Source organism: Homo sapiens, chromosome Y (genome assembly GCF_000001405.40).
Source record: "Homo sapiens chromosome Y, GRCh38.p14 Primary Assembly".
NCBI lineage: Eukaryota > Metazoa > Chordata > Mammalia > Primates > Hominidae > Homo > Homo sapiens.
In genome coordinates, this window is record NC_000024.10 from 14,694,826 (window position 1) to 14,718,205 (window position 23,380).

Consider the following 23,380-nt stretch of genomic DNA (forward strand, 5'->3'; position numbering starts at 1 on the left):
ATGGAAGCATCCCATCTTAGTCCAGATTTCCCTTTTCACAGACCAAAAGGTCAAAGTCAGACTTGGCAGACAACACAGCTTCAGTCTCATGGGGGGATTTCTTTGTCTTATCAACCTCAGTCATGGGCTTTCCAGCCATTATAATTTCACATGTAATATGGAGGGTATTGTTCCAAGAAAGTGTGGTGCCTCAGTAGGGTTGGAGGAGGCACATGCAGCTGATATAGCTAAAGAAGAGTGTGTTAAAAGTGGAAGGAGGCAAATTAAAAGCACTAAGGAAAGTTTCTTTTACACACCACAGAAAGGTTTACAAAACATCGAGGAAGCTTCAGACCCAATCCAGGTACTGCTTTTACTTCTGAACTATGTCATAATTTGTGATATCAGAATATTCTATGGAATCTATGGATACCTGCAGAAATAGTTTGCTGTTGTTCCCATTCTGCATTATACATTTATAAGCAGTTGCTGTATCATGGGATACATAATGTTCTTTAATCCTAATAGGGGCATCAGTTCTAAATATAACCAAAACAATTGTGAAAGGCACACATGCACAGGTTGGCATATAGAGATGGAGATGGCCGATACGTTGTGTTTTGTACAGATGGGAATGCTTTCTGTGTCCTGCCCCCACACTGCAGGACAGCTGACAGGTAGTCCAAATGCCCATGTAGACAGCTGGACTCCAGACAGCTTGCTGGTACTGTCTGGCACGCCTTCAAGTCCTGACTTTCTTGGGTCCCTAATGGAATTTACATTACCTGAAATTTCCGGGAGTTTGTGAGGCTGGCTAAACAGATTCCCTAAATAACTGGAGATGTGCAGTCAGAGAGCGAATAGACAAAGAAGGATGCGGTGGCTGTCAGTGTATTCATTTTCTTTTGCTGCATATTTGATTACTGCAAATTTAGTGGCTTAAAATGACACACTTTTGTCATCTCACAATTCTTGTGGGTCAGGTTTCTGGGCATGTCTGAACTGGATTTAGTGCTCAGTGCCACACGGGGATGAAATCAAGGTGTCGGCTGGGTAGCATGATTCTCTGAAGGTTCATAGTCCTCTTCCAAGCTCACTCAGGAATTGGCAGAATTAGTTTATTTCTGTTGTAGGATCGAAGTCCCCTTTCCTTTCTCTCTGTCAGCAGGAGCTGATTTCAGCTCATAGAGGTCCCCCAAGCAGCTTGTTGCCATGCAGCCTTCTCAGGGACCATCTTCCAATATGTTCATGCATGCATGCCTGCATCTTCATGTCCAGCAGGGGAATCTCTTGCTCCAGTCTGCTAAGAAAAGGAAAAATCTTAGATAACATAACCAAGGCAATAGCATCGCATTCCATTTCCTAGGTAACATAACATACTCACAGGATGACTTCTAACAACTTCATAAGTCCAGCTCATATTCACCTTCCTGGGATTAAAGGAGGGCATGGCTTATCGGGTCCTTCCAACTTATAAATACTCCAATATATAAATTTCCCAGGGCTTCTATAACATATTACCACAAACAGGGTAGCTTAAAACAACAGAAATGTATTCCCTCCAGTTCTGGAGGCCAGAAAACCAAAATCCAGGTGTTGTCAGGGTTGGTTTCTTCTGCACCTTCTGAGGGAGAATCTGTTCCTGCCTCTCCTACTTTATGGGGGCTGCCAGTAATTTTTGGCTTTTCTTGGCAGTGTCACTTCAATACTGTCTTCATCTTTCCAAGGCCTTCTTCTCTGCATATGTTTCTGGATGCTCTCTTCTTCTAAAGACACAGTCATTGGATCGAGGGACCATTGCAAATACATGATCATTTTATCTCTAAGGAGATTACATAGTCACATCTGCAAAGACCCTGCAGTAGTACCTCCTTATCCATTGTTTTGTTCTCCGTGGTTTCAGTTCCCGGTGATCATTTAATCTCTTGGCTTAATCAGTTAACTCTTGAGAGATTAAGAGTTAATCTCTTACTGAGCATAATTTATAAATTAAACTTTATTATGGGCATGTATACATAGGAGAAAACATAGTATCTATAGAATTTGGTACTAGCTGCAGCTTCACATCTTGGAGCCTATCCTCACGCATAACAATCTGGGGTGTTATGTATTTCCAAATAGGGTCACATTCTGAGAATCTGGTAGATGTGGGTTTCTGCAACATTATTCAACACAATACACCCTGTCATGCTTTGCCTGTGACCTGACACTGCCCAATTCTCTGGTATAATCTTGCAGCAGACTCTCCTTTACCTTTTCTGGAATATTTCCTTACAACTCTCTTTCTGACTCCTTGACTCCCAATTCAGATCATCTAAAACTAAGAGTAATATTTAGGGATTATCTTGCTGACCATTAGAGAAGATGGGGTCACTAACAGATAGATAGATAGGTAGGTAGGCAGATAGATAGATAGATAGATAGATAGATAGATAGATAGATAGATTGATAGATAATAGATGTGAATCGATAGATGGAAATGGATGGATAGTAAGATGATAGCTAGGTGATATATGTATATATAGACAGATAGATAGAAAGATAGATAGATAGATAGATAGATGATAGAGATGGATAGATATAGATACATAGATAAATGATAGCTCATAATGGATAGATATAGGTAGATAGAGGTGGAGAGATAAAAGACAGAAAGTAAGACATATAGATATAGATAAGCAGATAGGTGATAGATAGATAGATAGATAGATAGATAGATAGATAGATAGATAGAAGGTAGAGATAGAAACAGGTAGACAGGTATATAGATGATGGGTATATAGATGAGAGAGATAGATAGATAGATAGATAGATAGATAGATAGATAGATAGGCAGGCAGGCAGACAGAGAGACAGATACATAGGCAGGTAGGTAGGTAGAGGACAGAGGGATAGATAGGTAGACAGAGAAATAGATTGTAGATTGGAGAGACGGATAGATAGACATCTTAATTCCTGTGCGCCAATCCTTCTCTCTATAGCTAATTATAATCATACATGTATATGGTTACATTTCTATTAGTAGCATTTCACAGTGGGAATTCAGTGATTTAGTGATTACTGAATTAATTGTTGTATGAGGCTCCCTGACAGCAAACACTGAGTCTTTTTGTTCACTATCCTCAGTGCTATCATTTTACAGTAAATGGTGGAGGAAACGTAACTTCCTACCAAAAGCATTTTGTGGCGCTGAAATAGGAGAAAGTGAGATTCTTTACTCCATTTCCAAAATCATGGATACTGGCTCCAACATCAGAATTTACATGGTGCCTAAAGAATTCATCCTATTGCATTGAATACATTCATGCACATGAGTATTTTCTGAGCAATTTTGGTTTCCAATGAGATACTCATCTCCAGACAGCACTGGACCTTACTAAGATGACTAATTATTAGTTGACATGTGAATACTATGTGCTAGGTGAATGTGTGAAAAATGTCATTGGCTGGAAGGGCTTTTCTCAAATTGTCCAACTTTGCAGCCGTGGACTAATAACCATTTTTCATGAACCAACTCTGTCTCTTACATATTTGTTTAGGTTGGGTTAAAGTTTATTTCAATTGAACGTGTACATAGAGTTGTTGTATTTAGGAGACTTTCTGAAATAATTCTCAGGCAATCCCTTGAGGTAGAAAAACATCTCCTTGCTTTACTGTAAATCCATTTCCATGCTTTTTTCTATTCATAGAGGCCACCTGTATTCCTTGGCTTATGACTTTAGAGACTGACACTTGTTGCCTACAAGTGGCTAAATGCAGGAAGGACAGTACCCCTTTGAACTTAATTTGTTTCCCATTGGATCTATGGAACCATTCCCTATGTGCTAAGGCCATAAAATAATCCCTGAGGAGATGGATTACTGTTCAGCTTATTGAAAGAGTTAGCATAAATCTACCCAGATCTCTCCTTAGATTTTTGGCTGTTCTGGGTTGGCAATCATGTTCACATCTTTTCCTTTCTTTTTTTTTCATTATTTTTAAATTTAAGCATATTTATGCAGTAGTTAGCAATGTTTTGATACATATAAGGCATGCTGATCAGATCAAGGTATTCGGCATATCCATCATCTCAAACATTGATCATTTATTTGTATAGAAACTTCCAATAGCCTCTTTCTAGCCATTGGATACGATACATCCTTGTTAACTACAGGGTTATAGAATACTAGAACTTATTCTTGATATCTGGCTGGAATTTTGTATTCTTTCACAAATCTTTCTCTATCCCTTTCCTTTCCTTCTTTCCTTCCCAGCCCCTAATATCCTACGTTCTATTCTTTCCTCCTATGAGATTAACGTTTTAGATGAGAAATTCATAACAGGGGATACTACCTAAATACTATGTTGGGAAGTTACCTGTTAGAGGACTGGGTCCTCTCTTAAGAAGTGACTTCCCAGTATAGTATCTAGGTAGCATCCCTCAGCCTGCAGACTCCATGAGGCCAAGAATGCTTTTAGTGTGGCCCAACACAAATTTGCAACCTTTCTTAAAACATTGTGAGTTTTTTTGTGTGATTTTTAAAAATTAGCTCATCAGCAATTGTTGGTGTATTTTACGTGTGGCCCAAGACAATTCTTCTTCTTCCAGTATGACCTAAAGAAGCCAAAAGATTGGACACCCCGGCAGAGGGAGGAGGTTTTATCTAAATCATGAAAACTGGTTGGAATATTGGCCAGCAGATGCCGCCATGGCAGGGAATTGGGATTTCTTGTTAAAGGTGTTACCATTTGAGCATATTGTAACATTATTTATTACTTTCTTATTTACTCTTTTTCATGCTGTTAAGTATTTTGGGGTGAATTCAGTAATTTCCCATCCCTTCAATTGAATGTAGTAGTAATAGTAATAACAATAACAATTCTAAACCTGGAGAGATTTTATAAATACCTAAAATTGCATGTAATTATGAAAGAAATGAAATCATTAAGCTAGGAATCACTCTTTTAGTGAATCTCAAAATAACATGCTTTTTTTAATGAAAAAAAAGCTAATTATTTAAGGTAAATCTGTAAACACCTAGAGGTACATTAAGCTTACATGTTGGCCCAAAGTGATGGTTTATGAATTTGTGAAAGAGTGAAAGGATTGGCTTAGAGTCATTACTGTATGGGATTAAATACTTGCGTTCAACAAAAATCTCATCATATAATCACCACACAGTATTATTTTCTGAAGAAACATAATGCTAATGCAAACATAAATGGATATTAAAATGGAGACAAATTAGAAATCATCAGGATGTGTTTTTAAAAGCTAGGTAGTATTTTTTGATTATAGAATTAGGTAAAGGCTCTGAATCCTTGAGAGCAACAACTTGGAATACTTAAAATTATCTGTATTATTAACAATGGAGGACTGTGTTCAAAACACAAGATATCTTAAGAAGAATTTGCATCAAGTTTGGCATCAGAATCTTGCCAGGTGAATTGGCTGTATTTTTAAAGTAATATTGTGATGTTTATGGGACCCACCTGCAGTGAAATAGGTCTCTTTCATTCCACACCTGGATACAGCAATCTCTTTGCATTGCTCTTCTTCTTCTCTTCTGAAATGCCATCCTTCTTTGTGAACTACAATTTCTAACACTTAGTCCGTGCCTTCTAAACAAAAGTGTCAGTTCTCTGAATGCCATTTATTCTTCGTCGAATAACATGTTTAGTTATAATTCTTATTTTCTTTACTGCATCAAAGATCTTAAGACATAATCAATGATGTATTCCTCTCTCTGTTTTATATTTCATTTTGTGTGAGTAAAACAAAACTTCCTTGCCAGAGATTAACTTAAGACCGTGTTCTGACTATTTGTTTAAAAGATGATGTTATGCCATGAAGTGTTTGACTTCTAGGTTTGAACCCCAAAACCCCAATAGCTTGATCTCATTGACTAAGTTATTTAAGGATTCTGTGCTGCAGTTGCCTCATCTATAAAGTTAGGACAAAAATACTACCTTACCACTTTTAAGAAGGCTACAAAGTATTTGGAATAGTGCCTTGAATGCATTAATCAAATACTGCAGTTCAATACTTAATATTGTCATTATTAAATATCTGTTGCCATAGGAAGACCACTGGAATAGGAGTAAAAAGGGAAGGTGCAAATTTTCACTCCAGCACCAGTAGCATGTATTATAAACACAATGATACAGCATAGTCCTTACTATATAAAAACCAGGTGGGTCACTAACTAGTGCTAGAATGTTCTAGGGAAGTCATTCTTATTTTCTCTTCTTCAGGCTCTTAACCTATAAAATGCAGATACCAAGTAAAAGGAACTAGGGCTTCTTGGAGAAATGGCTGATTTGAGAACTGGGGCAGGAAATATAAAAGGTAAGCTTGTAGTGTGTGTTGTAGTGCCAGAAAGGAGGACAATGCTAAGCCCGCATGCACACGCACACACACACACACACACACACACACACACGCACAATGACATGGTCATGACACTGCATACAAGGGCCAACTTAGAGAGCATTCCATGGCCCTCTTTGGGACAACTGGAGTAACAAAATAAATAACGTAGTTTTGAGTTATAACTCAAAGTGTAGAATACATATCCACAATCCAATATTTGATGTAGATGACTGAATAAATTAGCATGATATAGTAATTTCCTAATGCTACTATAGAAAATTACATTATTTTTGGCATAAAACAGCACAAAGGTATCTCACCATTTTGTTTTGTTAGACATCTTCATTTTAAAGGTTAGAAGTCCCACATGGGTCTCCCTAGGCTGAAATCAAACTGTCCATAGAATTGATTGCTTTTGAGACCTGTTGGGGGAAATTCATTTCCTTGTTTTCCATTCATAGAAGGCACCTGCATTTCTTGGCTCATTCTTTTTGCTTGATGTGCAAAGCCAGCAGTGCAGTGTCTTCAGTTGCTTCTCTGACTGCACTCCTGCTTCCTTCTTGTTCTTGAAGGAACTGTTATGATTATATTGGGGCCACCTGGATAATTCACAATAATCTTATTTTAAAATCAGGCAATGCACAACTTTAATTCCATCTGCGAACTCATAACATATTGGCAGATTGAGGAAATTAGGATGTCGATATCCTGGGGGAAGTATCATTATTTTCCTTACCACTGGAGAGATGAGAAGAATTTCTCATGAAGAGGCATTTAAAATAATTTATATAGGTATTTATCCCTTAAGAAGTTGGAGTATAAATTTTTATTTATTTATTTATTTATTTATTTTTTACTCTTTGAATTCATTTTTACATTTTGGAGATGAAGTCACTCAATATTGCCCAGACTGTTCTCAAACTCCTGGCCTCTGGCAATCCTTCTGCTTCAGCCTCCCAGTGTTTTGGGATTATAGGTATAAGGCACTGCACCTGGCCATAAATCTCCTTTTTTTATTATTATACTTTAAGTTTTAGGGTACATGTGCACAACGTGCAGGTTAGTTACATATGTATACATGTGCCATGTTGGTGTGCTGCACCCATTAACTCTTCATTTAATGTTAGGTATATCTCCTAATGCTATTCCTACCCCCTACCCCCACCCCACAACAGGCCCCAGTGTGTGATGTTCCCCTTCCTGTGTCCATGTGTTCTCATTGTTCAGTTCCCACCTGTGAGTGAGAACATGTGGTGTTTGGTTTTTTGTCCTTGCGATAGTTTGCTGAGAATGATGGTTTCCAGCTTCATCCATGTCCCTACAAAGGACATGAACTCATCATTTTTATGGCTGCATAGTATTCCATGGTGTATATGTGCCACATTTTCTTAATCCAGGCTATCATTGTTGGACATTTGGGTTGGTTCCAAGTCTTTGCTATTGTGAATAATGCCGCAATAAACGTACGTGTGCACGTGTCTTTATAGCAGCATGATTTATAATCCTTTGGGTATATACCCAGTAATGGGATTGCTGGGTCAATTGGTATTTCTAGTTCTAGATCCCTGAGAAATCGCCACACTGACTTCCACAATGGTTGAACTAGTCTACAATCCCACCAACACTGTAAAAGTGTTCCTATTTCTCCACATCCTCTCCAGCACCTGTTGTTTCCTGACTTTTTAATGATCACCATTCTAACTGGTGTGAGATGGTATCTCATTGTGGTTTTGATTTGCATTGCTCTGATGGCTATTGATGATGAGCATTTTTTCATGTGTCTGTTGGCTGCATAAATGTCTTCTTTTGAGAAGTGTCTGTCCATATCCTTCGCCCACTTTTTGATGGGTTTTTTTGTTTTTCTCTTGTAAACTTGTTTAAGTTACTTGTAGATTCGGATATCAGCCCTTTGTCAGATGGGTCGATTGCAAAAATTTTCTCCCATTCTGTAGGTTGCCTGTTCACTCTGATGGTAGTTTGTTTTGCTGTGCAGAAGCTCTTTAGTTTAATTAGATCCCATTTGTCAATTTTGGCTTTTGTTGCCATTGCTCTTGGTGTTTTAGACATGAAGTCCTTGCCCATGCCTATGTCCTGAATGATATTGCCTAGGTTTTCTTCTAGGGTTTTTATGGTTTTAGGTCTAACATTTAAGTCTTTAATCCATCTTGAATTAATTTTTGTATAAGGTGTAAGGAAGGGATCCAGTTTCAGCTTTCACATACGGCTAACCAGTTTTCCCAGCATCATTTATTAAATAGGGAATCCTTTCCCCATTGCTGGTTTTTCTCAGGTTTGACAAAGATCAGATGGTTGTAGATATGCGGCATTATTTCTGAGGGCTCTGTTCTGTTCCATTAATCTATATCTCTGTTTTGGTACCAGTACCGTACTGTTTTGGTTACTGTAGCCTTGTAGTATAGTTTGAAGTCAGGTAGCGTGATGCCTCCAGCTTTGTTCTTTTGGCTTAGGATTGTTTTGGCAATGCAGGCTCTTTTTTGGTTCCATATGAACTTTAAAGTAGTTTTTTTTCCAATTCTGTGAAGAAAGTCATTGGTAGCTTGATGGGGATGGCACTGAATCTATAAATTACCTTGGGCAGTATGGCCATTTTCACAATATTGATTCTTCCTACCCATGAGCATGGAATGTTCTTCCATTTGTTTGTATCCTCTTTTATTTCATTGAGGAGTGGTCTGTAGTTCTCCTTGAAGAGGTCCTTCACATCCCTTGTAAGTTGGATTCCTAGGTATTTTATTCTCTTTGAAGCAATTGTGAATGGGAGTTCACTCATGATTTGGCTCTCTGTCTCTTATTGGTATATAAGAATGCTTGTGACTTTTGCACATTGATTTTGTATCCTGAGACTTTGCTGAAGTTGCCTATCAGCTTAAAGAGATTTTCAGCTGAGACAATGGGTTTTTCTAAAGATACAATCATGTCATCTGCAAACAAGGACAATTTGACTTCCTCTTTTCCTAATTGAATACCATTTATTTCCTTCTTCTGCCTGATTGCCCTGGCCAGAACTTCCAACACTGTGTTGAATTGGAGTGGTGAGAGAGGGCAACCCTGTCTTGTGCCAGTTTTCAAAGGGAATGCTTCCAGTTTTTGCCCATTCTGTATGATATTGGCTGTAGGTTTGTCATAGATAGCTCTTATTATTTTGATATACATCCCATCAATACCTGATTTATTGAGAGTTTTTAGCATTAAAGGTTGTTGAAGTTTGTCAAAGGCCTTTTCTGCATTTATTGAGATAATCATATGGTTTTTATTGTTGGTTCTGTTTATATGCTGGATTACATTTATTGATTTGCATATATAGAACCAGGCTTGCATCCCAGGGATGAAGCCCACTTAATCATGGTGGATAAGCTTTTTGATGTGCTGCTGGGTTTGGTTTGCCAGTATTTTATTGAGGATGTTTGCATCGATGTTCCTCAGGGATATTGGTCTAAAATTCTCTTTTTTTTGTTGTGTCTCTGCCAGGCTTTGGTAGCAGGATGATGCTGGCCTCATAAAACGAGTTAGGGAGGATTCCCTCTTTTTCTATTGATTGGAATAGTTTCAGAAGGAATGGTACCAGCTCCTCCTTGTACCTCTGGTAGAATTCGGCTGTGAATCCATCAGGTCCTGGACTTTTTTTGGTTGGTAAGCTATTAATTATTGCCTGAATTTCAGAGCCTGTTATTGGTCTGTTCAGAGATTCAACTTCTTCATGGTTTAGACTTGGGCGGGTGTATGTGTCGAGGAATTTATCCATTTCTTGTAGATTTTCTAGTTTGTTTGTGTAGAGGTGTTTATAGTATTCTCTGATGGCAGTTTGTATTTCTTTGGGATCGGTGGTGATATCCCCTTTATCATTTTTTATTGCGTTTATTTGTTTCTTCTCTCTTTTTTTAGGTTTAACTGTGCATGATATCTTCCTTCCAAAGAGTGTACAGTATTGAAAGGGTAGACAAACGGTATCTTTATAGTGGAGGAACCTGACAAACAATAACTCAGACAGATCAGACTCAATATCCACAGCGATAAACTATTTTTACTGTATGCATTCTTGATAGGCTGTGAGAAGAAAGGCATTTTCTTTCTCCCTTCCCAAAAATTCATAATTAGATCTCAGCTTAATCACGGTAGACATGAAAGACATCCCAGTTGTGCAATACTCTATAAAATGCCTGACAAAAATTCCTCAAAACCATCAAGGTTATCAGAAGCAAGGAAAACATGAGAAACAGTTATAGCCAAGAGGCACCTAAGAAGACAAGATGACTAAAATGTCACATGGGATTCTAGATTGAATCCTGGTACAGAAAAAGGACATGAGCTACAAACTATGAGAATCTGAACAAAATGCAGGCTTTACTGAATTATAGTGTTTCCATCTTGGTTCATTAATTATAAGAAATATGTCACACTGATGTCAATGTTATTAATAGGGGAAACTGACTGTCAGGCATATGGCAGTTCTCTTTACTGTCTTCACAATTTTCTGCAAATCTAAAACTTTCCAAAATTACAAGTTAATTTAAAACAAATGGACAAATGGAAATGAAGGTATTATACCTTTTTTTCTCTAATTCTTGGAGAGGCTTTGCAGATGCTACTGTGTAATATCCATAAAGTTGCCTTGAAAATTTCTTAAATTTTAAGTTTAAATGAGATTTTGCTTAAAAATAAAACACGCACAATGTCTAGTCATTTTTGTTTAATAATAATGCAAGTGATTACCTTGGTGTCTTCCTGGGTAAGATCTTTCTGTGATAAGTGGTTGGAGTCATAGAGTAAATAGTCAACACACTCTTGTTTTCTTGAGTAGCATGATTATATGGCCAAATAATTGACATGCAAATCATAGTGTCATCAGGGATACGTACAAATGTTCATGCAACACAGACTTCTTCTAATGAGTACGGTATTAAACAGTTCAGTATAGCATTGAGCTGAGGAACATGTCATAGAGATTCTGGCACTTGTACTTGGTGCTCAAAGGTTTTACAAAGTTAGAGAGGAAATTTCTGGAGGGGAAGCTTAGAGACATCACATTCTCTGAATCAAGGAAGAGAATACTTCATGAGAAAAATCTGAGTGGAAGAAAAATGTTTGAGAAATCATGAAAAATACCACTGCCAGCTATGATATGAGCTAACATTTATGGATCACCAGTTGTATGCAAGAAAACATTTACATGTTACCAGGGAATCAGAAGGATTGAAAGAGAGTAATAAGCAATATTTATGTATATGTTATTTTTGTTTGTTTGCTTGTTTGTTTTGAGATGGAATCTTGTTCTGTCACCCAGGCTAGACTGCAGTGATGTAATCTTGGCTCACTGCAATTTCTGCCTCCCTGGTTCAAGCAGTTCTTCTGCCTTGGCCTCCTATGTCTTGGGATTACAGGCATGTGGCATCACACCTAGCAAATTTTCCTGTTTTTAGTAGAGATAGGGTTTCACCAATATGATTCTTTCAAAGTGCTCATTACATCAGAAAGTCCCTCGTGGAAATAGTTCCTCATAGAAAGGAAACAGTCTCGTGTTTCTTGGCCTTAGTTCTTTTAGGATGTAATGAGGATAATATTTTGCTTACCCTAACTACATAGGTATTTCACAATCTAGGTTGATAATCTCATTTAAAAAAAAATATATATATATATATATATATATGTATGATTGTGTGTAGTGTGTATATATATACACTTATATTGATTGCGTGTGATGTGTATATATATACATATGTGTATGTGTATATATACACAATCAGATATATGTGTATATGTATGCACATATATATACATACACACATATGTGTATATATATACACACATATATACATATACACATATGTGTATATATATATACCTGTTCAAAGTTATTCGGTTTTGAATACAACATTTTGAGAGGTATCTTAGGGCAATTAAAAGTCAATTTTATGTGTATATATATATATATATATATATATATATATATATATATATATCTGTAGCGGTCTATATATGCGTGTGTGTGTAGAAGTTATTAGGTTTTTGTTTGTTTGTTTCATTGTTGTTTTTTGAGATGGAGTCTCGCTCTGTAATCCAGGCTATAGTATAGTGTCATAACCTTGCCTCTCTGCAATATCCGCCACCTAGGTGCTAGGGATTCTTGAGCCTAGTCTCCCAATTAGCTGTGATTACAGGCATATGCCACCATGCCTGTATAATTTTTGTATTTTTAGTAGAGATAGGGTTTCACCGTGTTGGCCAGGCAGGCCAACAGATAGATGTGTGTGTGTGCGCGTGTGAGTAATACATATAAACATCTTTGGGTGTATTAGATTTTTAATACAACATTTCAAGAAACATCTTAGGGCAAATAAATGTCAATTTTCTTTTCAAAATGACTTTTCTTAATAAAATGTATTTAAAATACCTAGCAAAATATAATATTAAGTTAGTTCTCATTTTTAAATACACTGTGATTTAATCACAAGCTCACAGATCCTTAGAGATGATATTGTCTATCAGCTGAAAATTCAAAAAAAATGGGAGATGCTCATGTAAATATACTAAGATTTGTATTTCATTCCTGAAAACAGAAACACTTCAGTGGTAAAATTTGCAACAAAAAAAAATGCTTATGGAAGCTTAGACAATGCTCTAGGACTCTAATAGTAAGCACAGGAATATGTCAGGAAGCCATACAGTCTTTAGATTCATTTTGATTCCTACCTGAAAAAGTGTCAATTCTTGCTAAATGTAGCAAAGCAACAAAGAAAAATTATTATTCACCTGTTTCTCTCAGTGTTTTTCCTAACCTTAACCCTATTTCCTAACCCTATTTTAAGTTATTTCCTAACCCTTTCCTATTTCCATTATTATAATAAAGCATTTTTGATCTGGTAGAAAATTAGAATTAGACCTTGCTTTTACTGTCATCACAATAGCATTTTATCAAGTTTTTTTAAAAAAATAGCAAATGGCAGAATTATTATATATTGTATGTTAATCGAAATTATTTTTTACCATGTTATGAATTATAATTTATATCTATTCTCAAAACTAAAGAAGATGCAACATTGCATTTGCACACTTGAGAGGAGAATTAGTTCCACATGCTACATAGAGAGCTGTATTTATCATTGTTTTTCACAGCTGGTATGACTGTGACTATTATAATAGAGGTGAGCTTGCAAGCCAAAAATATGTGATTCATCCAACAGTTATTTACCATGTAACTTATATGTTCTGGATGTTTAGGTAGTTATTACAAATTAGGAAATATGGTGTTGAAAATCACAGGAAACACCTTTGTTTTCTTTTTCCTAGCCATTTAGCAAAGAGACCTAATTCAACAAGGTATCATGTTAAATATTATAATTCATTTGGTGATGAAAAATGCCAACTACAGTGAATAATTGAGGAACTCAAGTTTATTTAGGAATATAATGCTGGGATGAACAGGGAATGCCTTTCTTAGGAAATATAATTTAGGCTGACCAATAAAAATTTGTCTTACAGGAGAAAATGTGCCTTGCAAGTAGGGGGAACAGCAGAATTCCCAAAAGTCCTAAAGGCAACCTGATGATGAAATGAGTTAAGCCATGTTCACAGTGGTGTATTAGTTGACTTTTGCTACATAAGGAACCATCTCAAAGCTAAGCATCTCAAACAACTTTTATTTAGCAAAGCATCTCAAACAACCTCTATGTAGGTTATGATTCTTGGTTGGGAATCTGGGCTGTGCTCATCTGGGAGGCTCTTCAGCCTAGAGTCAACATCCAGGTCAGTTGGGTGCTCACTGGCCAAGCACTATCTCAACATGGTGCTTGTCAGTGCTCATGTGGAATATCATCCTCTAACAGGCTAGTGAGGACTCTTCATGGAAACTTGTCAGAGTTGCATGTAGATATGTTCAAGTTCTCTTACAGTGAAAGCTACATAGTGTCAGTGTCACCTCCCTGATCCAGAATGTCCAAATAAGTAAATCCAGAAAGATACAAATGAATGGGCAGTTTCCAGGGGCTGGGGGAAAGAGGAAATGGAGAGTGACCACTAACTGGTACAGTATATTTGGGGGCATGGGGAATCATGAAAACGTTCTGCCATTCGATATTGTTTATTATTGCACAGATCCATGAATACATTAAAAACCACTGGATTGCATACTTTGACATAGTGATATGTATGATACAGTAATTATATCTCAGTTAAGCTATTTATCAACCTATCTCTATCTAATCAATCTATCAACCAAATAAATTAAGACAGCCTATGTATAGAGACAAATAGACCAGGAGCCAGTCACTGTGGCTCACACCTGTAAACCTAGCACTTTGGGAGGCCAAGGTGGGTGTATCACCTTAGGTCCTGAGTTTGAGAACAGCCTGGCCAATGCGGTGAAACCTCACCTCTATTAAAAATACAAAAATTAGCCGGGAATGGTGGCGCAGGCCTGTAATCCCAGATATTTGGGGAAGCTGAGGCAGCAGAATCACTTGAATCAGAAGGCAGAGCTTTCAGTGAGCCAAAACTGCACCATTTCACTCCAGCCTGGGTGACAGAGCAAGACTCCATCTTAAAAAAAAAAAAGACAGAACAGAACAGAGGAAGGTAGGCAGAAACAGACTCTGGTAGATGTAAAACTTGGCATGTAAGTGAAGAGCCATAATACCTATGTAGCTGAAAATGGGAGTGTTATCTAAGGAAATAATTCAAATAACCTGTATACTATACCACCCAGATAAATAAATTCCAAATGATTTATGATCCACATGACAAATAAAACTTTTGAACTGTTAGAAGAAGAGTAATCAAATAAAATGTCTTTATGTTTTTGGATTACATAAATAATCCTTTTTTAAAAAAGCAGACATTATGGAGAAAATAGTGATAAATTATAATAAATATGCATCTTAATGAATTACTTTATATAATTAAAAATCAATAAAATAGTTAAAGGCAACAGAACAGATATCTCCAGTGCTCAACTGTGTAAGCTTGGGCAAATTATTTAATCTCCACATATCTAATTTTCCTCACTGTGAGATGATATTAGTTACACATCTCAGAAGGTAGTTATGAAAAATATATATTCAGAGCTGGGCATAGTGGCTTTCACCTGTAATGCAGCACCTTGGGAGGCCGAGGTGGCAGAATCACTTGAGGCCAAGAGTTCAAGACTAGCCTGAGAAAAATAGTGAGATCCTCTCTCCACAAGAAATTAAAAACAAAAATTAACTGGGTGCAGTGGCACACACCTGTAGGGGTCCCAGCTACTCGGGAGGCTGAGGTTGGAAGGATCACTGGAGCCCAGGAGCTGGAAGCTGCAGTGAGCTAAAAATGCTCTTCACCCTGTGTGACAGAGTAAGAGTTCATCTCTAAAAAACAAACAAATGAAATGCAAATTCATTATGCATAAAGCCCTTAGAACAGTATGCAGCACTGATTTGCACTGTTAAATGTTTGCCTTTACATCCTCAAAAAGAGACCATCATCCATGAATGTAAAGATTTCCTGCAAACCAATAACAGATGTTCAGCCAATCAAAAATTGGCTTGCTATTCAAGAAGGGAATTTAGAATGATCAAGACAACAAATACAGAAATGCACATCTGCACTATTTTCAAGGAACTTGCAAATTGAAATATAAACTGTCAATATATTATACTCATCAAAGTGACAAATATATTGTCTGATAATAACAAGTGTTGGGAATAGGATAAGGGGTGCAGAATTTTCTTACCTGCTAGTGAGTGTATAGCATAATACAACTTGTTTGGAAAGAAATACACCAGGATATACTGAAGATAAAATTAGTACTACCCTATGTATCAGTTAGCTACTGCTGCATAACAAAGCACTCTAAAATTCATTCCCTTAAAACAATAAGCACTTACTACTGCTTATCAGCCTATGAATGTTGTTAATTGTAAATTTATTTTGGTCTTGGCTGTGCTCATTGATGTGTATTTATTGTTGTTTTGGGGTGAACTCTCTCAGGTAGTTGGGGATTTGCGGGAGGTAATTTTGCCTAGGTTGGGGCCAATGGGTTCTTCTTTATGGCATCTATTGTATTCCAATCCACTAGTCTGCATTTTTCAGAGAGCAGTGGTAGAGTTTCAAGAGATTAAGAATATGTACAGGGGATTTCAGTTCTAGTCTTGGAAATAGCATATCATTATATTTTTTTTTCTTTTGAAAAAACACAATCATAAACCAGTCAAGATTCAAGGGGTGAAAATACAGACTTTATCTCTATGTATGAGGAATAGCAAATTCATGGGACAGATTGTAGAACTGGGGACCCCTTTTGCCTGTCAATCGACTACACCCTGTAATTCAACATTATCTATCTAGTAGTTATGTGCCCTAGAGCTGAGGTCTTCAACCTGGCAGAGGCCTTTTTAAAACTTTTTCAAAGTATGACTCAGCTGATTATTTTAAAGAAACCAACTTTCAGGTACTCAACCTCCATATGTTGTCTTTTCTAAGCCTTCCTGGTCACCAAAATCTCTTCCCATATCACAAAAGGATGACCTTCAGTACACAAGATGCGTTGGTACTGACCTGCCAGGGCTTGTAATAAAAGAAGTAACCATCTGAATGCTGCTTTCTGGGAAGCTACTTTACTGAAAGCTCCATAAATTAAGCCTCCCAGGGAGGTGTGGTGGCTCATGCCTGTAATCCAAGCACTCTGGGAGGCTGCCAGAGGTGGATCGCCTGAGGTTTGGAGTTTAGAGACCAGCCTGGCCAACATGGCGAGACCCCTTCTCTACTATAAATACAAAAATTAATTTGGCATGCTGGTGCATTCCTGGAATCCCAGCTACTCGGGAAGCTGAGGCAGGAGAATCACTTGGACCCAGGAAGTGGAGCTTGCAGTGAGCCGAAATCACTCACTGCACTCTAGCCTGGGTGACAAGAGCCGAACTCCATCTAAAAAAAAAAAAAAAAAGCCTGCCATCTTATACGTATTTCTATTGGTCCTGTACCAATGTTCTTATTTCAGAACATGAAAAAAGAAAAGAAGCCATAAGTTATCTAAGGCAATTCTTCCAAATCCAGAAATCGAACTTTCCTGTCAAAAACCAGTTTTTCAAAGTGCACATACATTGGGTGAAGCCCATCGGTAAATGATCCAATCTGAAAATCTTCTGAAAGTCATCTTTCAATTTCTTGGTGGTAGTACTATTCAAGTGGAGGTTCAGATAGATTTCAAAATGTCTGCATGGAATATTTTCCCCAGCTAGAGTCTTTTCTCTCAGTGTATGGAGGAAAGAGGAAGTATCCAGATTGAGTACCTGCTCTTCTCATCTTTCTTGGGCTACTCTTGTCCCTTCTGTGCCCTCCCCTTCCAACCTATGCTTTCCCTCAGAGCAGCCTGTTTTCTTTGCTCCCATAAATGTATTACTGGTCCTTGCTCTTCTGTGCATATTTAGCAGCCCTAACCCTCTTCCTCACCAGCCACCCTTCTATCCCCAGACTGGCCTACCAGAAACAGCAGAGTATCCTCAATTCGTGCATGCATTTTCCTGCCACGTTGGAATGATCTGTATGCATGTCTGTCTCTGATGTTCATTTCCTTTTTCAGCGTGGCTATGTATTTACCTCTTTTAGCCAGGACTGCATGGCATTACCTCTCTAAGCCAGTCAAAAGGTTCAATACATACTTATAGAAGGAATGGGCTTATGAGCAAATAAACTCATGTGTCATGGTCAGTCTGTGAAGACAGATCAGTCACCTCCTAGCTGCAGAGAACTGGGGATTGTAAATTCTCCCCCAGTTGCCTTTCTGCGTTGGATTACAAGATTAAGCCTGTATTCCTCTGTGGCCAAGTGATAAAATAATCAATCACACCCACATCTATCATGGCCAAGAAAACATTTATTTCCTCACCTCCTCCCATAGGCAAATTGCCCCGGGAGGAGCAATATGGAAAATAATGTAGTTCACTAAAAAAGCCTCTTTCTCTACTTAAGATAACAGTATCAAGTTGAAAATTAACCTTGACCTCTTAAAAGAAAGGAATATACAGTAAAATATGAACTACTAAATACATTTTAATATAATATCTCATGAAGAGCAATAATGCTAAGGTTCTTTTTGGCTATTTCCTTATATTCTTGCTTAGATAACAAGATCACATTTGTATCTGATGACTTTCTCTGATGATTTAGATATGTAAGTGGCAATAAAATTAATATATATTATAAACAGATTTAAATTATTTCCTGATGCATAATGTTAACAGCAGTAGATGTGACTGTGAGGTTTTTCCTTTGATGTTAATTTTGCTTTTACAATAGTCCTCATTTTCCACATTTTTAAATTTTCTTTTTGTTATAAGGTCTAGCTGTGTCACCCAGGCTGGAGTGTAATCACACAATCTCAGTTCACTGCAATGAGGTTCAAATGATTCTCCCATCTCAATCTCTTGAATAGCTGGGACTACAGGATGTACCACCATGTCTGGCTAATTTTTTGTGAATTTTGTAGAGACGAGCTTTCCCCATGTTGGCCAGTCTTGTCTGGAATTACTGAGCTCCACCTACCTCAACTTCCCAAAGTGTTGGGATTAAGGCATGAGCCACCATGTGCATATCATTTTCCAAATTATTTACAAAGTGTTTCTCTTACATTAATAACATAAAGTACTATTTTAGAAAGACTGACTTTGAAAATAACATAGATAAAGCACTAAATGTGAACATCAGAAGAACAGGTTAAAAAATGCTGGAATATTCTTCAGGATTAGGGAAATTGAGATTTTTTTAATAAAATGATATTTAAATCTTAATAATAGAATGGCTGTACTTTTGTTTGGAGTATTTAAATCTTCTCATTTAAAACCAGTTCTGCACAGAAGTTTTACAGAGATGCTAATTGTTGTATGAAATGGAATATTATTCTGGCATTTTGAGGAAGGGTAGACATAGAGAAGAGAAAGGAAACTCGCAGTCCACCTAGGTTTTATTTGGGCTTCTTTGTGTGTGTGTGTGTCCAAGCCACAAGCTGGGTTTATTCTTGAATAAACATTAGCCAAATTGTTTTTCCTGAACCGTCTATTACCTGCATGTACATAGACCATGGTTGTGTTCAAACTAGATAATCAAGATGACTTGTTTTGTTTTAGAGACATTTAGTTAGTTGTAATTACATGGACAAATAAAGCAGCAGTTTATCAAAAAAGAAAGAAAGGATTAAAAAATTATGCATAGGAAAGGCAGTATGTAATTTCTGCCTTTCTGTTTCTGGGGTGAGGCTGTGCTAAATAAGATTAATTTAAAATTGGGATTTGGCAAGTAATTTCTATCAAAATCTCAGCAGGAGGTTTTGTTGCAACTAACAAGCTGATGTGGAAATTTGCATGGAAAGTCAAAGGACCTAGAACAAGCAAAAAGACCTTGGAATAGGGGAAGAAAGTTGGAGGGCTTTCATTTACCATATGCAGAAACCTGAAACCGGACCCTTTCCTTACACCTTACACAAAAATTAACTCAAGATGGATTAAACACTTAAGACCTAAAACCATAAAAACCCTAGAAGAAAACCTAAGCAATACCATTTAGGACATAGGCATGGGCAAACGCTTCATGACTAGAACACCAAAAGCATTGGCAACAAAAGCCAAAACAGACAAATGGGATCCTATTAAACTAAAGATCTTCTGCACAGCAAAAGAAACTAGCATCAGAGTGAACAGGCAATCTACAGAATGGAAGAAAAAGTTTGCAACTTATCTAACTGACAAAGGACTAATAACCAGAATCTACAAAGAACTTAAACAGATTTACAAGAAAAAAACAAGCTCATCAAAAAGTGGGTGAAGTATATGAACAGACACTTCTCAAAAGAAGACATTTATGCAGCCAACAAGCATATGAAATAAAGCTCATCATCAGTGGTCATTACAGAAATGCAAATCAAAACCATAATGAGATACCATCTTATGCCCCGTTAGAATGACAATCATTAAAAACTCAGAAAACAACAGATGCTGGAGAGGATGTGGAGAAATAGGAATGCTTTTACACTGTTGGTGGGAGTGTAAATTAGTTCTACCATTGTGGAAGACAGTGTGGCAATTCCTCAAGGATCTGGAACTAGAAATACCATTTGACCTAGAAATCCCATTGGGTATTTACCCAAGTCTCTTTGGGTATATACTCAAATGATTATAAATTATTGTACTATAAAGACATGACTATGTATGTTTATTGTAGCACTATTCACAATAGCAACAACTCGTAAGCAACCCAAATGCCCATCAATGATAAACTGGATAACAAAATGTGGTACATATCTACCGCGGAATACTATGCAGCCATAAAAAAGGACGTCCTTTGCAGGCACATGGATGAAGTTGGAAACCATCATTCTCAGCAAACTAACACAAGAACAGAAAACCAAACACCACATGTTTTCACTCATAAGTGGGAGTTGAACAGGAGAAAACATGGACACAGGGAGGGGAAAGTCACACACCCGGGCCTGTCATGGAGTGGAAGGGTAGGAGACGGATGGCATTAGGAGAAATTCCTAATGTAGATGCCGGGCTGATGAGTGCAGGAAACCACAATGGCACATGTATACCTATGTAACAAACCTGCACGTTCTGCACATGCACCTCAGAACTGAAAGTATAATTTTTTTTTAAATAAAGGTACTATAAAGCTATAGTAATTGAGATAGTAGGCAACTCATTTGGGTATAAGTTTGGATTAATGATATATAATTAATTACAGTTGGCCCTTGAACAACACAAGGTTTAGAACCCCTGCACAGTCGAATATTCACTTTTAACTTTTTACTCCCTCAATACTTAACAACTAATAGCCTACTGTTGACTGGAATACTTACCAATAACATAAACAGCTAATTAACACATCTTTTGTATGTTATATATACAATATGCTGTATTCTCCAAATAAACTAAGTTAGAGAAAAGAAAATGATATTAAGAAAATCATAAATAAGAGAAAATGCATTTACCACTCATTAAATAGAAGTGGATCTTTTTGAAAGTCCTCATCCTCATCTTCATATTTAGTAAGCTAAGGAGGAGGAAGGAGAGAAGAGGTTGGTCTTTCTGTTTCAGGGATGGGTGGTAGAGATGGAAGAAAAAGGTAGATCTGCACAGCACAGTTCAGACCTATGTAGTTCAACAGTCAATTATAAACAGTTTAGAAATCAATCCTTCAATTTATAGTCAACAAGTTTTTTTAAATGCTGCGAAAACAATTAAAGGAGGCAAGGATAGTCTTCTCAATAAATGGCACTGAGACAATTGGTTATTCATATGTAAAAAGATGGATTTCAACCCTTAACACTTATTATACCCAAAAATTTACTCAAAATGAATGACAGATGAAAATGTAAGAATTAAAATTCTTAAACTTTTAGGAAACATCAACAACACAGGACAATGTCTTCAGGGCCATGGATTGGGAAAGATTTCATAAATGTGACTTCAAAAATACAGTAGTTAAAAGAATTGATCAGTTGAACCTCAAAAGGACAATCCTTTAATGAAAAGTATTGATCAGTTTAAAGTCATCAAAATGAAAAACTTTTGCATTTTGAAAGTTATCACTGAGAAAACCAAAAGACAAGCCATAAACTGGGAGAGGAGATTGGCTAACTATATTCCTGATAAAAGATTTTTATCTCCAAAATGTGTAAAACAAAACAAAACACTATTCAGTAATAAGACACAAATTATTTTTTAATTGGCAAAAATATATTATTAGACGTTTCACCAAAGAGAGTATACATGAGAAGATACTTAATATCATTAGTTATTAGACATTAGCTACATTAAAACTACAATGAGGTCAGGTGTGGTGGCTTATGCCTGTAATTCCAGCACATTGGGACGCCAAAATGAGTGGATTGTTTGAGGCCAGGAGTTTCACACCATCCCGGACAATAGGGAAAGATCCCATGTCTACCAAAATACAAAAATTAACCAGGGGCGGCCGGGCGCTGTGGCTCACGCCTGTAATCCCAGCACTTTGGGAGGCCGAGGCGGGCGGATCACGAGGTCAGGAGATAGAGACCATCCTGGCTAATACGGTGAAACCCCGTCTCTACTAAAAATACAAAAAAATTAGCCGGTCATGGTGGAGGGCACCTGTAGTCCCAGCTACTCTGGAGGCTGAGGCAGGAGAATGGCGTGAACTCAGGAGGCGGAGCTGGCAGTGAGTAGAGATCTCGCCACTGCACTCCAGACTGGGCGACAGAGCGAGACTCCCTATGGAAAAAAAAAATTAGCCAGAAGTAGTGGTGAAGGCCTGGAGTCCCAGCTACTTGAGAGGCTGAGGCACGAGAATTGCTTAAACCCATGAGGTGGATGGAGGTTGTAGTGAGCCGAGATCACACCACTGCCCACCAGTCTGGCTAACAAAGTGAGACTCTATCTCAAAAAATAAAAACAAACAAACAAAAAAACCCTACAGTGAGACACAATTTTACACCCATTAGTATGGCTATAACAACAACAACAAAAAAGATATTAGCAAGTGTTGTCTAGGTAATAGAAAAAATAGAGACCCTTTATATCACCATTGGTGAGAATGCCAACTATTACAGCTAATTTGGAAAATAATCGGCCAATTTCTTAAAACAAAAACATTAAACATAAATTTGCCTTATGAAACAGCAATTTCAGCCCTAGATATGTATGCAAAGAGATGAAAATATATGTCCATGCAAAAAATGGTACACAGGTACACAAATAATTGTTCATAGCAGCATTATTAATAATAATCAACAAGTAGAAATAGACCAAATGTCACTAAAAAATAAATGGATTTAAAAGATGTGGTATACCCATACAATGGAAAATAATTTAGCCCTAAAAAAGTATTGATGCATGGTACAATATGGACGGACATTGAAAATATTATGTAAAGTAAAAGAAGCCAGACACAAAAGACTACATATTATATGAGTTCATTTATATGAAATGCCTAGAAAAAGACAAATCTTACAAAGACAGAAAGTGGATCAGCAAGGCTGTCACTCCCACGCACTCAGCCAGGTCTGATTTTAAAGGATATTAAGCCCCA

General features: G+C 37.2%; 1 protein-coding gene across 26 annotated transcripts in view; it reads left to right on the forward strand.

Annotated features, from left to right (window-relative positions):
• The window catches only part of NLGN4Y (neuroligin 4 Y-linked), a 323,039-nt gene that overhangs the window by 172,210 nt on the left and 127,449 nt on the right, over positions 1-23,380 (forward strand). The window contains exon 2 of one of the 26 annotated variants that reach the window (XM_017030039.2): positions 6,214-6,307. The exons of 24 other annotated variants lie outside the window; for them this stretch is intronic. In XM_017030039.2, the coding sequence (XP_016885528.1) occupies positions 6,271-6,307 (37 nt within the window). In that variant the 5' untranslated portion in view covers positions 6,214-6,270. Of the gene's footprint in view, positions 1-6,213; positions 6,308-9,961; positions 9,983-23,380 lie in introns of those variants that run through there. One more of the 26 variants, XM_017030040.2, reaches the window with a different exon arrangement.